This window comes from Homo sapiens, chromosome 4 (assembly GCF_000001405.40).
Source record: "Homo sapiens chromosome 4, GRCh38.p14 Primary Assembly".
Lineage (NCBI taxonomy): Eukaryota > Metazoa > Chordata > Mammalia > Primates > Hominidae > Homo > Homo sapiens.
The window spans coordinates 96,569,583-96,586,557 of record NC_000004.12 but is presented as its reverse complement, the minus strand read 5'-3'; the positions used below and the strand labels follow the sequence as shown (position 1 = coordinate 96,586,557).

Here is a 16,975-nt window from a genome sequence, read left to right as displayed (position 1 = left end):
TGGAAAACATAGGTGATGCGTGTGAAGTGTGTTAATGAGATCTTCATCACTGTTATTAAGACTACTCTCCTTCAAATAGATTTCAAGTATTTCTAATAGAATCATAATTATAGATAATGTGATACCTGATTTTTCTTTACTAATTCAATATAAAAATATTTGAGGGAACAATAAATTAATTAAGAAATAAAGTCGTATCCTTTTCTACTGTTAAAAATTTAGAAACATGATTTGAATACATATAAATTTTAAACACTTTTGACAATTGATTTTAATAGTCTTAAAGCATAGTACTTAGATTTTCATGGGAAACCAGATTTAGGTAATGTCCTCCTGCTGGTTCAAATTTCAGTATATAAACTTTATATTTACAGAATATGATAAAATAGCACTTGAATAGAGAGAAATCAGCCATATGTAAAATTGACTAACCATGTGTTTATTTAGCCTTCCATATCTTATTAAACAACATCATCTTTGTTTAGAGAATAATCAGGACTGCTAAAGGCAGTTTATCAAATATTCACTGTAATGTCTACAGAAAGAATCTTGTTAGAGGAGAAAGCAAATTTTATTATCAATTTTATGGCAAATAAAACCCTGATGGGGGTTAACAGAGAAGCCTTAGGGTCTGAAAGAAAAAGTTAATATACATGGTGTGGGAAACATTTACCAAAACTTTTTGTTTACTCAATTCCATTGCATATTATATAAATATGTGTTAAGGTACTTAAATAATGTTTGAACTACAAAATGCAATATTTCAAAACCTTACCTAATAAGAAAATTATAGAATTTTTTTATTAATTGTCATATTACAGAATATGATTTGACACAGTATCTTCAAATAAAGAGTATCTATGACATGATGGCATAGAAACAATAGGGATAGAGAAGCAAGAGAAAATTTTAATGTATTCATACTTCCTATTTCCTTAGCACGAATTCCAATTCAAAGACTCAGATTTTTGCTCAAATGACTGAAATAATGCATTAATGTTATACTGTCATTCCAAATTCCACCACGTGTCATTTAAGTCTCAAAGTTCAATTAAAGTGACAAGGATGACACACATCAATAGTTAGGGAGGAAAAATAAAAAGTGAGGGAACTTCTAAATGACATTTAATTATGATCTCATGGTAGAAATTATTCTACAAAGAAAGGAAATGCAATAGAAAGCAAGATGTCATACTTTGGAATTTTCATCCCCAGAGACAGTTAGCCAAAAAAACCTGTAGCAGGGTGTGATTAAGTCTGTATGTTGTTCTTGACCTCATTAATGGAGTCAGCGGATGGATTTCCAGATCAATTTGTATGCAAATGTAACAGAAATAAGAATGCATCTTTACAACTAATCTGCCCACTTTTAGACTATGTACTTTTTTTCCTCTCTTGCCATCTTCGTTTATTCACTGAATGATATTTATTGATGCCCTCACAAAAGTGTCTTGAAAACTGACTGTATATGGTAGACAAGAAAAGGAAAATGTAAATCTACAATTTTATTTTATATGAGAATGTGTGGTATTTAAATGCAGCCTAACATTCTCTGAAGACTTTTATAGGTGTGATTTTCTTTAGTCCTAAATTTTTCTAGTGCATCCTAATATACTGGAAAGTGACTAATCAATAAGTACAGACCTTGGCACGGTTACAGCCCATTCAGCTTGAGAGATGGAAGGGGACATTTCATGTCATTACAACAAACAATATGAGCCAAAATGGAGACGTCTTTTGCTGGTAATGAAAAGTCTACAACTATAAGACTTTTGTTTGTGAGAGTGGTGTACATTTTTGGTATTATGAATGCAGTGTCAATCTGATATGATATTCATTATGTATATGGTTCACACTTGTTTGATTTCAACTGTTTATTCAATTAAAGTCAGTCAATAAATAATATATTGTGAAGTATCTAGTTATTGTCATTTTTTTCATATTATTTGACACAGTATATTCAAATAAAGGATATCTATGACACGAAGGTATTATTAGAAACATTGGGGAAAAATTAGTTTTACTTTTGTATCATTTTATAAAGATTATACAAACCTGAACTAGGCAGATGAGGTGAAATAAGCCTGAAAAGGGGAAATCTAAGAGGCTTACAGGAGGAAAAACCAGTAAGATTTATGACTAGTTATGTTTAAGCAAGTAAGAGGTAAAACCAGAATCAACCCTAATTGAAGAATGCCCTTCTGGGACACCAAGAGTGCTGAGTCCCTGAGTAGGGTCTCAGGTTAAATATAGGGCAGACTGAAATTTACAAGCCATTATTAAAAAGCACTTGAACTTCAGATTCCATTTTAATCAGACTGATAATATGCGATTTTTCCCTCTTCCTCCCAAGATCCTATTAAAAATAGTAGTACACAATAATGAAAACAATGAAGTTAAAAAACGAACAGGGCTAATGTTCCCGCAGTCTTAAAATGCTAAGTCCTCACTTATCATGGCAAAAGTCAGTAGGTAATATTCACAGTTAATGAATTTATATTCAGTATTATAATTATCTAATGTAGTGATGTGAAAGTAACCAACAGAATAAAAGAGACAGAAATTTTTGTTTTGAAGTATTAGGGGTGGGACAAGGAGCAGTGGAGCAATGTAACCTTTGCTTTTCCTTATAAGGCCTTGTGTACCACTGGATTTATAAGCGGTGTGTGTGTGTGTGTGTGTGTGTGCACGCACATGTGTCTACGTGTGTGTTTAATAAAACATAACACTACTAAGGAAAAAATAGTATTGTATGTACTGAGAATTCAACACATTCCTAAATATGCTATTTACATTAAAGCAGGAATTTCTAATCACACATTTAAACTTCCATCAGCTGCCTTAAAATTTAATAGTCAATACCTTTCTTGTAAATATCAATTATGTAAAAATATTTATAAAGTTCCTGAAAGGATAAGTTATAATATGCTATTTTAATTTTAATTACATATTAAGGATTCATATATAATCCTGATAAACTTTTTGGCTCAGATATGCTTTCAATTGCTTGAAAATATGGTATACATTTGTGAATATGCATCATTGATGCTTTTTGGCAGCCTAGTTTAAATTAGTATGGAGATTTATAAAATCTCAATATTTTGGCATCATTTTCAGTAGCAGATCAACGAAAGTCTTTCCAACACCTATTTAAAAATGAGGTAATATGTTGCTCACTGCTCTTTAAGCATGCTAAGGAATAAGGGTTCTCATTCAAATCCTCTCTATATTAACCTGTCAATCCCTGTCAATTCACAGAAAACCTCCACCAACTGTGAGCCTGAAAAGTAATGCCTGCTATTAGAAGAGCTCAAGGCCCACAAACATCCCTTATATGACAACATGCCTTTAGTAGAATGCTGTGATTTCTTCTGTTAACTTCATCAAAATATCTATTCATTTTAAATACACAATTCAATGATTTTCAGTACATTAACAGAGTGGTGTAAACAATACCAAAATCTAATTTTAGATACCTCCAACACCCTAAAAAACAAACATTGTGCCCATATATATTCACTTCTAAGTCCCACATGTGGCCCCACATCACCACCGATCTACTTTCTGTCTCTATGGATTTATGGTCAGTTCTTTATGAATAACTTGAGATTAGACATTTTTAGTCAACTCAAAGCTTGAAACCTTTTGTTCAGTTAAAGTATTAAAATAAAATAATTTCTCATGTCTTAATTTTGCTTACTATTTATTCAAAAAGCAGTCTAGAATCCATGAATACTTTCCAGTGTCATTACTCAATTGTTTGACTTTGGCTGTTTTCTACCATATTTATTTTAATATATCATTGATCAAAATTAGCTGGATGACTGGCAAATCAACATCATAGTTGTATAAATTAACCAGATGCAATGCTTAGGTTAATAGCATAGTCTGTAAAACACTGACTACTTGTCAAATTTTCCTTACCTTGGACAATCAAATTCAGGTTTAGAACTCTGTTTGTAATTAGCTACAATTGTTTTTTAAACATAAATTCATTTATTTATATGTGTACTTTGGGTTGTAAGTATATTGATAAGTTTTCCCTGAACTGAAGAGTTAGCCTAATTGTGACCAAACTCTTATAAAGAGTGATGTCAATTCCCAGTGTAGTAGTAACAATTTCTGCAAATTACTAGCTAAAATTATTATTTTATAATTTATCCAAATCCAGTGAGAATAGTTTGGATACATTGGATTAAGACCAAAACACTATCATTTTATAGATCAACATAAAACAATATAGAAACCTTTCTTTTAAAAATTATGAATTGCCTGGGCAATGGCTTTGGCAAAATAAGCCCATTAGCCTACCATCTTTCACTGCACCTCAGGAGTAAGAGAAAGGTTGGTCATTCTCAAAGCTGAAATCTTGTCAGCATCACTGTAGATTTATGAGGCAGTGTTCTAATCCCTCATTATTATCTGTCTTGTTGTTCTCCATTACTGCGTCCTCAAGGAGGCTGTTTTGTTGTGTACTCCTCATGTCATGCTCAGCTGAAGTATAACTGACTGGAAGACCACCTACACTTATGGTGCATTCACACACAAATGAGTAGATGCTAGAAAAGTTGTACATCCATTAAGCAGAGAATTAGTTTTGATGTTATTCATTTATCTATCAAATACACTTAGACATATGAGTTCTGTGAAGGCTTGTTTACTTAGAAATGGTGCTTTACTCTTAGAAAGGGGAAATGAAAGATATTGCTGCTGTCAATGAGTTTAAAAGCTTTTATGCAGAAGTCTGAAAAATGAGAACTTACCTCATTTTTCCATTGTCTGTTTTGTGGCATTTTCAAAGTGAATTCTTTCAGCAGGCTATTTTCATGCTGTGATCAGAAAGAAAATACACCCTTACTTTGTGTTGCCTTATTCCATCTCTAAAGAGAAATGTATAGAAATTTAAGTCATCAGTGACTTAAATATTTCCAACTGCAGGTAGTCTTTTAAAAACATAATAAAATATGATGAACAGATAATTTAAAATGTTGGTTTTCATTTGTTAGTAAAAATGTGCTAAATTTGATGTGATTTGGCATATTTGGGAAGTGAGGAAGGGCAAGTCAGGGGAAATAGTCATCAGGAGCATGATCAGGTTTGTGAAGGAGAAGTACAGGATGTTGTCTAAAATATGGTAGGGACATGCATGCTGATATGAGGAGTCTTGGAAGCTCTTTGGGGAAGTGGCAGATAAGTCTAACTCTAAAGATTAATATTTAACAATGAAAAGAGAAGAAGATGAATGTTCAGACTTCAGAAATCAGACAGTGAATGCTTGGAGACAGACCATCTACCAAATAACAGTCAATATTTTTGACATAACCTTCAAAATGAACTCATAATATTTTAATATCTTTTAACATTGTTGACATTAGAAACTTGATAATTCTTAGTGAAACTAAAAGTGAAAAAATATGTTCAAAGCACTCACATACAGTTAGGAATGAATGTGCATAGTTAATTGTCCAATGGCACACATTATATTAGTTACTTTAACATAATACCTATTCTATTAATAATTTATTAATACTCTAACATAGACACAGAAAGTTCTATTAAAATAGTGTCATGCATCACTTAATGATAAAGACACATTCTGAGAATTGTAGCATGAGGCATTTGTCATCGTGTGAACATAATAGAGTGTACTCACACAAACATAGATGGTATAGCCTAATATACACCTAAGCTACAGCTAAGCCTTGTGGTATAGCCTTTTGCTCCTAGGCCACAAACCTATACAGCATGTTACTATGCTGAATACTGGAGGCAATTGAACACATGGCAAGTATTTGTGTATCTAAGCATATCTGACCATAGAAAAGGTACAGTAAAAATACAGTATTATAATCTTATAGGATCACAGTTGCATATGCAGTCCATTGTTGATGGAAATGTTCTGTGGTTCATGACTGTTTATGTCTAATTCAGGGTACTCTGCATTAACATTGCATACTTCATAATCATGTAATAATTTCAAGATGCTTGAATCCATCATAACACAGCCAATTTTTCTAAGTATCCTATTTGGGTTTATGAATAGAATTAAGAATAGTTATTGAATATCCTGACTCAAATTTTATCTTCATAACAAAATACATTTATTCTGTGCAGTGTTTACATGTTAGATAAAGACTTAAAATGAAGTCAAAAACTAAAATGTACATTCCCAGTTCTATTACCTTGTTAATTTTGAGTGATGAGTTTTTTTCTAGACTTTCACATAAATATGTTTTGCCCTTCTAAGGTATATCACATAAACAATTGGAAAGCCTGCTTTTTCAATTCAACTTAAATAAACACTAGGCTAAATTGCTTAAAATTTCACTGGAAACATTCAACATTCTTAAAGAAAATAATTTTCAACCCAGAATTTCATATCCAGCCAAACTAAGCTTCATAAGTGAAGGAAAAGTAAAATCCTTTACAGACAAGCAAATGCTGAGAGATTTTGTCACCACCAGGCCTGCCCTAAAAGAGCTCCTGAAGGAAGCACTAAACATGGAAAGGAACAACCGCTACCAGCCACTGCAAAAACATGCCAAATTGTAAAGAACATCAAGGCTAGGAAGAAACTGCATCAACTAATGAGCAAAATAAACAGCTAACATCATAATGATGGGAACAAATTCACACATAACAATACTAACCTTAAATGTACATGGGCTAAATGTTCTAATTAAAAGGCACAGACTGGCAAATTGGATAAACAGTCAAGACCCATCAGTGTTCTGTATTCAGGAAACCCATCTCACATGCAGAGACACACACAGGCTCAAAATAAAGGGATGCAGGAAGATCTACCAAGCAAATGGAAAACAAGAAAAGGCAGGGGTTGCAATCCTAGTTTCGGATAAAATAGACTTTAAACCAACAAAGATCAAAAGAGACAAAGAAGGCCATTACATAATGGTAAAGGGATCAATTCAACAAGAAGAGCTAACTATCCTAAATATATATGCACCCAATACCCAATACAGGAGCACCCAGATTCATAAAGCAAGTCCTTAGAGACCTATGAAGAGACTTAGACTCCCACACAAAAATAATGGAAGACGTTAACACCACACTGTCAACATTAGACAGATCAACGAGACAGAAAGTTAACAAGGATATCCAGGAATTGAACTCAGCTCTGCATCAATCCGACCTAATAGACATCTACAGAACTCTCCACCCCAAATCAACAGAATATACATTCTTTTCAGTACCACACCGCACCTATTCCAAAATTGACTACATAGTTGGAAGTAAAGCACTCCTCAGCAAATGTAAAAGAACAGAAATTATAACAAACTGTCTCTCAGACCACAGTGCAATCAAACTAGAACTCAAGATTAAGAAACTCACTCAAAACCGCTCAACTACATGGAAACTGAGCAACCTGCTCCTGAATGACTACTGGGTACATAACGAAATGAAGGCAGAAATAAAGATGTTCTTTGAAACCAATGAAAACAAAGACACAACATACCAGAATCTCTGGGACACACTCAAAGCAGTGTGCAGAGGGAAATTTATAGCACTAAATGCCCACAAGAGAAAGCAGGAAAGATCTAAAATTGACACCCTAACATCACAATTAAAAGAACTAGAAAAGCAAGAGCAAACACATTCAAAAGCTAGCAGAAGGCAAGAAATAACTAAGATCAGAGCAGAACTGAAGGAAATAGAGACACAAAAAACCCTTCAAAAAAATCAATGAATCCAGGAGCTGGGTTTTTGAAAAGATCAACAAAATTGATAGACCACTAGCAAGACTAATAAAGAAGAAAAGAGAGAAGAATCAAATAGACGCAATAAAAAATGATAAAAGGGATATCACCACCGATCCCACAGAAATACAAACTGCCATCAGGGAATACTATAAACACCTCTACGCAAATAAATGTGAAAATCTAGAAGAAATGGGTAAATTCCTCAACACATACACTCTCCCAAGACTAAACAGGAAGAAGTTGAATCTCTGAATAGACCAATAACAGGCTCTGAAATTGAGGCAACAATTAATAGCTTACCAATCAAAAAAAGTCCAGGACCAGATGGATTCACAGCCGAATTCTACCAGAGGTACAAGGAGGAGCTGGTACCATCCCTTCTGAAACTATTCCAATCAACAGAAAAAGAGGGACTCCTCGCTAACTGATTTTATGAGGCCAGCATCATCTTGATACCAAAGCCTGGCAGAGACATAACAATAAAAGAGAATTTTAGACCAATATCCTTGATGAACATTGATGCAAAATCCTCAATAAAATACTGGCAAAACGAATCCAGCAACACATCAAAAAGCTAATCCACCATGATCAAGTGGGCTTCATCCTTGGGATGCAAGGCTGCTTCAACATACGAAAATCAATAAATGTAATCCAGCATATAAACAGAACCAAAGACAAAAACCACATGATTATCTCAATAGATGCAGAAAAGGCCTTTGACAAAATTCAACAACCATTCATACTAAAAACTCTCAATAAATTAGGTATTAATGGGACATATCTCAAAATAATAAGTGCTATCTATGACAAACCCACAGCCAATATCATACTCAATGGACAAAAACTGGAAGCATCCCCTTTGAAAACTGGCACGAGACAGGGATGCCCTCTCTCACCACTCCTATTCAACATAGTGTTGGAAGTTCTGGCCAGGGCAGTCAGGCAGGAGAAGGGAATAAAGGGTATTCAATTAGGAAAAGAGGAAGTCAAATTGTCCCTGTTTGCAGATGACATGACTGTATATCTAGAAAACCCCATTGTCTCAGCCCAAAATCTCCTTAAGCTGATAAGCAACTTCAGCAAAGTCTCAGGATACAAAATCAATGTACAAAAATCACAAGCATTCTTATACACCAATAACAGACAAACAGAGAGCCAAATCATGAGTGAACTCCCATTCACAATTGCTTCAAAGAGAATAAAATACCTAGGAATCCAGCTTACAAGGGATGTGAAGGACCTCTTCAAGGAGAACTACAAACCACTGCTCAATGAAATAAAAGATGATACAAACAAATGGAAGAACATTCCATGCTCATTGGTAGGAAGAATCAATATCGTGAAAATGCCCATACTGCCCAAGGTAATTTATACATTCAATGCCATCCCCATCAAGCTACCGATGCCTTTCTTCACAGAATTGGAAGAAACTACTTTAAAGTTCATATGGATCCAAAAGAGAGCCCACATCACCAAGTCAATCCTAAGCCAAAAGAACAAAGCTGGAGGCATCATGCTACCTGACTTCAAACTATACTACAAGGCTACAGTAACCAAAACAGCATGGTACTGGTACCAAAACAGAGATATGGACCAATGGAACAGAACAGAGCCCTCAGAAATAACTCCGCATATCTACAACTATCTGATCTTTGACAAACCTGACAAAAACAAGAAATGGGGAAAGGATTCCTTATTTAATCAATGGTGCTGGGAAAACTGGCTAGCCGTATGTAGAAAGGTGAAACTGGATCCCTTCCTTACACCTTACACAAAAATTAATTCAAGATGGATTAAAGACTTCAATGTTAGACCTAAAACCATAAAAGCCCTAGAAGAAAACCTAGGCAGTACCATTCAGGACATAGGCATGGGCAAGGACTTCATGTCTAAAACACCAAAAGCAATGGCAACAAAAGACAAAATTGACAAATGGGATCTCATTAAACTAAAGAGCTTCTGCACAGCAAAAGAAACCACCATCAGAGTGAACAGGCAACCTACAGAATGGGAGAAAATTTTTGCAACCTACTCATCTGACAAAGGGCTAACATCCAGAATCTACAATGAACTCAAACAAATTTACAAGAAAAACCAAAAAACCCCATCAAAAAGTGGGCAAAGGATATGAACAGAGACTTCTCAAAAGAAGACATTTATGCAGCCAAAAAACACATGAAAAAATGTTCATTATCACTGGCCATCAGAGAAATGCAAATCAAAAACCACAATGAGATACCATCTCACACCAGTTAGAATGGCGATCATTAAAAAGTCAGGAAACAACAGGTGCTAGAGAGGATGTGGAGAAATAGGAACACTTTTACACTGTTGGTGGGACTGTAAACTAGTTCAATCATTGTGGAAGTCAGTGTGGCGATTCCTCAGGGATCTAGAACTAGAAATACCATTTGACCCAGCCATCCCATTACTGGGTATATACCCAAAGGATTATAAATCATGCTGCTATAAAGACACATGCACACATATGTGTATTGCGGCACTATTCACAATAGCAAAGACTTGGAACCAACCCAAATGTCCAACAACGATAGACTGGATTAAGAAAATGTGGCACATATACACCATGGAATAGTATGCAGCCATAAAAAAGGAAGCATCCATGTCCTTTGTAGGGACATGGATGAAGCTGGAAACCATCATTCTCAACAAACTATTGCAAGAACAAAAAACCAAACACCGCCTGTTCTCACTTATAGGTGGGAATTGAACAGAGAGAACACATGGACACAGGAAGGGGAACATCACACACCTGGGCCTGTTGTGGGGTGGGGGAAGCGGGGAGGGATAGCATTAGGAGATATACCTAATGCTAAATGATGAGTTAATGGGTGCAGCACACCAACCTGGCACATGTATACATATGTAACAAACCTGCATGTTGTGCACATGTACCCTAATACTTAAAGTGTAATAATAATAAAAAAAGGCTAAATTATATTATCGCAGACAATTATCAATATATTCACAACCTTCCTTTTTTTCTATCTGCTTTTATTCACTAAGTTGTGCACCTAGACAGAGGCAGCCTCTGAGTTGAAATACAGTGATTTCTCAATTGACTAACCCTCTGTTTTCAAAACCTGAAGAACGCCATTCATTCTGAGTTTCCAAGGAGTCGTCCAAAGGTAAAAAGTCTTTAGTGTGAAGACTGAATATGCTAAAGATACAATGGCCAGACCATATGTTATAACAGAAAGCTGACCTCCAACCTCTGCTACAGCCAGTCCCAATACTTGGCCAATGGATGTTATTCTCCCTGTTTTGTTTTGTTTTGTTTTTTCACACCCACCCCAACTCAGAACCAACCAGAAGCCAAATATGTTTCCCCAATTAATTATATGAGATGCTCTGTTTTTATTTAGCCTTCCTCCAGGTTCCCCATGACCTCTGGCTCTGAGAGCGTACACCTGAGCCTTCTCTTTTTTCACTATTAGGTTTTCCCACTCCGTTGCTTGCCTGTAAGTCTCTGCCAAATGCAAGTGATGGTGGCCGAACCCCTTTGTACAGCAACTTCTGAATAAATAGCCTCTGTTAGTTCTCATTTGATTTGTCTTCATTTATTTCCTTAAGTGTTTGTTGGAAATCTTTGATGCATGAAGGAGGGACTAATCAAGGGCTATTGTCTCCAGGTCCAGCACATGGAGAGGAGACAGGGCCAGCTTTGCAGTGACATTTGGCAGTGTCCAGTACAGTAGTGTCCATCCATACAGAGCTTATAACCAGCTGTGTCAGAAATGAAAGGATCTTTCCTAAAGAAGGAGGGGAAAAGAGAGGGCCTTACTGAGTTGTATAAAAGGAGGAATGGTTTAGTCCGGAACAGAGCCTTGTAAAAACTCAGTACAACTATTACGCACATAATATTAGGCAGCCACCTTGCCTAATTAGCTCCCTAAGTTTTCAATACATTCTTAATTTCTTCCCTTTACTTTTATTGGATATAAGTTATTTGTCATATAGAAGGTTTTCAAGTATTTTCTTTCAGTCTGTGGCTTGTCTTTTTATTCCCATGAGTGTTCTTTGCAGAGGAAATTTTTAAAATTTTCATGATCTAATTTAACATTTTTCTTTCATATTTTATAGTATTTGTGCCCTATTTCTTTCTCTTCTCTTTATGGTACTCCAATTTTATCCATGGTATTTCATTTGATACTGCCCCAAAAGCTTATTGGTGCTCTATTCACTTTGCAGAGTCTGGTTTTGTTTTGTTCTGTTTTGTTGTTTTCCCCCCACACTGTGTTTCATTTGGAAGTTTCTACCACAAATTCTTCAAATTCACTAATCTTTTGTTCTTCAGCTAACACTTGAGGCAATCTCTCCACAGAACTCTAGCAGTATTTTTTCTCCAGTATTTTGTCCTACAAATCCTATCACCTTCTCCTACACAAAAACTGAACTTTGGCTGGACGTGGTGGCTCAAGCCTGTAATCCCAGCACTTTGGGAGGCTGAGGTGGGCAGATCACCTGAGGTCAGCAGTTCAAGACCAGCCTGACCAACATGGTGAAACCCCGTCACTACTAAAAATATAAAATTAGCCGAGCGTTGTGGCACATGCCTGTAATCCCAGCTACTTGCGAGGTCGAAGCAGGAGAATCACTTGAATCCGGGAGGCGGAGGTTGCAGTGAGCAGAGATTGCGCCACTGCACTCTAGCCTGGGCAACAAGAGCGAAACTCCATCTAAAAACAAAACAAAACAAACAAAAACAAACAAACAAATAAAAAACTGAACCTTGTCTCTTCAACATAGCCAGCCTGCCAGCCTCTGTTTGAATTGTTCCTCTCTGATTGTGGCTCCACTCTATAATCTGAAGAAATCTGAGGGCTCAGCTGATTTGTTTCCCTTTTCTCACACATTAGCATCTTGGATTAGCTCAAATTCAGTGGTTGACAACTTATTTCATGAATTTTGTTCAGTTTTCTGATTTTTTAAAGACAAGAGGGTAAATCAGATTTCTATTATTCCATTATGGCTAGAAGTAGAATTCCTAGGAACTCTTCTTAAAATGCACAAATATTCTGCTACTTCTCTCCTTTTTCTTGCAACCTGATTACCATTTTTCTTTGACTTTGAAATCATTTGGAGGTTTTTAGGTAGACAAAGTCAAAGTACCATAAATAAATTCTATATGTGAATTCTTACACCAAACAATGTATCAGGCATTTATTTTTAGGTTTTATTTCAATAGGCTAAAATCATTATTTGTTTTATAATGATTTTAACTATTTGTGTATATTCCTATTTCATCAGTTAATTTTTTAAAAATAAATTTGAGCAAAACTTAAAGGCATTTCTCATGTCCTTATCTGTCGCATCATGTTAGAAACTTAACCAGTTATGTTTATTATATAACTGCTAATATATTTGACAAAATTTTAAAAAAATAGAAAAATGTAAAAATACTATTTTGCATAACTAACTTAAAACTCTGTTCTTTTTCTGGTTACAAATGTATGTGTGACAATATAATTATTGCTTATATCTCTAATTATATATAAAGAGCTACTATGGCAGTAAATTTCCAGTGCTGAGAAAAAAAGTAGTCAGGATTAAAATAACAATTACTCTTTTGTATTTACAAGAACCTCAATATTACATCCTGGTGACAAGCTAAACTAACTTATATATTACCTAGAAACTATTTAGGTCAGGAGAGAAAACTAAATTAGCTCTTCCAGAAATCACTGACTGGGATTATGCCAAGTATCATTTTAATTTGATATTCCTGGTAAATAGAAAAGAATATACAGATGATTTTTAAGCAAAATATGAATAGAAATTTGTAGTTTTTAAATAGTTTACTTCAATTCTAGGAGTAAAATTTCAGTCTATTCACACTCTGTCTGCAGGGTACATCAACATCCTCTATACTGTATTAATATTAAAATACATCTAAGGGCAAAATGGTAATTTTCTGTGTGTGTGTGTGAGACAGAGTCTTGCTCTGTCGCCCAGGCTGGAGTGCCGTGGCGCAATTTTGGCTCACTGCAAGCTCCCCGTCCCGGGTTCATGCCATTCTCCTGCCTCAGCCTCCCGAGTAGCTGGGACTACAGGCGCCTGCCACCACGCCCGGCTAATTTTTTGTACTTTTAGTAGAGACGGGGTTTCACCATGTTAGCCAGGATGGTCTCGATCTCCTGACCTTGTGACCCACCCGCCTTGGCCTCCCAAGGTAATATTTTTAAATCAAAATATCTTTAGATCTTATGCTCATGAGCACAAAAGAAAAATATTTTAAAGAAAAACAAACAATGTTATCATTCATTACTCATTGTTTATTACTTATATTGTTTTTACTGATATCTATGAGTTAAATTTTGTTGATTGAAATTTCTTTATGTTTTATGGATTCACTCATTCAGTCAGTATTTCTTATGGACCTATGCTGTGCCAGCTATTGTTATAGGAGCTGCAAATATAGTAATCAAAAAAGGCAAAGAAGAAGTATCTTTACTTATGAAATTTTATTTCTAGTTGCATAAGTGGCCAGTAAACAAAATAAATAATATAGTGCATTATAATATGATGTTCCATTTTACCTCCTTCCATGTAAACACACTCTTTTGGTAGCTGATGACAATTGTCCAATTAGGTATAGTTACTCCCCTAATAAAACTTAAATTCCTTTTGCACATACTAAACTATTTGCATGGGCATATGGTCAACCAGACTGTTGCTTTTCTGCCTGGGGATAAATCTGTGCCTTCCTTTCTTTATACGTTGAATTGAGCTTACTACACTGCAAATGTGGCCTATTCTCACCAGCAACCGAGAACGTTGTCCATTATCAACTCATTCACCAGGATGTCTTTTCAATCATACTAAAATAGATTGTTGGTTGTAACTTGATTTACAATCAATCTCCATGTGCAGACTCCCATCTTGTAGTTAATCAATTATGTGACATGAATATTTGAACTTATCCTTTTCTTTGTTTCCATAGTCTTAACATTCTCATTTCTTTTTATACCTCCCCTTTTGTGTTCAAGCTTCACTTTATATTTTCTATATATAGTTACTACAATTAGAGCAGTACAAATTGATCCTTTTATTATTTTCAGAAGATAAAAAAAGCAATATACCTATTTAGTCGTAATTATGTTTTGGGGTTTTATATTGTTCTGTTCTATTTTTGGTGATATATCTTACATTTCAGTATTCTTTGTTTTTTATTGACAACACTCTTTTGTACATATCTGCTCAGTTTTTAAGAACAACTATAACAGAGATAAAATCATGAAAATCAATATATAGTCAATATATATTTAATCAGTATAGTCAACCACATATGTAAATCACATGCTCATTTTCCCCTCTTGACTGTTAGCTACTGTATGTCCTAAATTTTAGGACAATTTTGATTTAAATAATTGGTCCTATTTTCAGAAGAAATATTAGATTCATATGTCCTAGTATTTTGGGAAATCATATCATCATTCCTATGAGATTACTAAATGTACCTTAGATTTAGTGACTCAGTATGAGATACAATTGCCATCACATATAGACTAAAATAAAACATAAATTGAACAGAATAGTTTAAGCATATTTGTCTGTGTTTTTTGAGCTCCCATAATGTATACAATTGAATCTTTAAGAATATTTGTCTCAAACCCCAAAATTATTTTCAAATGAGAGATTATATTTCTATATGCTCATACTGATAATAATTATTTTCTCAGTATTGTTCCTAAGTAGCACAGGTAAGGATCAAATAATTGTGGTACATAGAATAAATTACATTGTTAATGACATACTTTATCATTTATTTTTATTTTACCAGTTTTTATGTAAATATTAATGAATGCAATTGATATTAGAGAAAAACATATATATTTTGTTTCAAAGAAATTTAAAGGAAGCACAGAATATATTACATAGTACATTGCTATTGTAAGTTTATGACAGGTGAAATAGGTACTTAAAATTGCATAGTTTTATTATATTCAGTGGCTGTAATTTTTATTCTTATGTGTCAACTTCGTTAGGTTATGTAAGTAAACACTAATCTAGGTGTTGATGCAAACCACATGTATTTTCCACATGTAGTGAACATCTACAATTAATTGACTTTAAGTAAAGGAGAGTACCTTCAATAATATGGGTGGGCTTGATTAAACTGGGTAAAGCCCTTAAAAGCCAAAACAGGTTTCCTAAAAAAGAGATTCTATCTCCAGATTGCTCAAGACAAGCACCAACTCCTAACCAAATTTCCAGCCTATCAACCTATTCTACAACTTTCACACTCACTGTCCCCCTACAATGGTGTGAGCCAATTTCTTAAAATAAATCTTTCTCTCTCTATCTGCATTCTAGTGGTTCAATTTCTCTGAAAAACCCTAATACTACAAATATTAGAATTGGAATCAAAAAGAAGTAACATAAGAAAATTATTCCTTCTATTGTTTTTTGAAACAGAGTCTTGCTCTCTCACCCAGGCTGGAGAGCAGTGGCTCAATCTCAGCTCACTGCAGCCTCTACCTCCAGGCTCAAGCGATTCTTGTGCCTCAGCCTCCCTAGTAGCTGGGATTACAGGGTCATGCCACCATTCCCAGCTAATTTTTGTATTTTTAGTAGAGACAGCGTTTTGCCATGTTGGCCAGGCTGGTCTCGAACTCCTGGCCTCAAACGATCCACTCACTTCAGCCTCCCAAAGTGCCAGGATTACAGACATTAGCCACCATGCCCAGACAAGAAAAGTATTCTGCTAATAAAAAGAATATAAATTATTTGGAAGACTTACAAAATAAGTTAAATAGGCTTGGAAAATTTTGTAATTATAAGGTATTTATGAAGGTCTTACATAATTCTTCATAGAAATATATTCATATTATCAAATTATTCAGGAATTCTTTTCGTAGCAATATGTGAGATAAAGCTATTTATTACTAACACTCTAGAAATAAATATAGTTCACACATTTCATCCTAGTGTAGAAAAGAGAAGAGAGAATAAGACATCAGAGAAACAAATGGTCAGGCTTATGTGTTCCGATTTCCCACATAATTGTAGAATTAACCCAGAATGGGTCATTAGGATAAGGGAAAAGCCCAAAGTGCCACCATATTCTTAGTTTGCGAATATCAGAGAAGACTCTTCAGGCATGGAGGTCACAATACAAGAAGGGAGAAGTAGTGGTTGCTAAACTAATGAGGGTGAAGCTCAGAAGTCAATCAGCAGGGGCTGGCTCTGCATGGCTATGGTGCAATCCCCAGCTGTCCATGTTTGGGCATTAA

The 16,975-nt window shown here is 34.9% G+C and overlaps 1 long non-coding RNA gene across 1 annotated transcript in view; it reads right to left on the bottom strand.

The window, feature by feature from the left end:
- LINC02267 (long intergenic non-protein coding RNA 2267) overlaps positions 1-16,975 on the bottom strand; it is a 507,713-nt gene that overhangs the window by 231,858 nt on the left and 258,880 nt on the right. Inside the window, exon 3 of the long non-coding RNA NR_147149.1 lies at positions 4,764-4,829. This is a non-coding gene — a long non-coding RNA (long intergenic non-protein coding RNA 2267). The remainder of the gene's footprint in view (positions 1-4,763; positions 4,830-16,975) is intronic.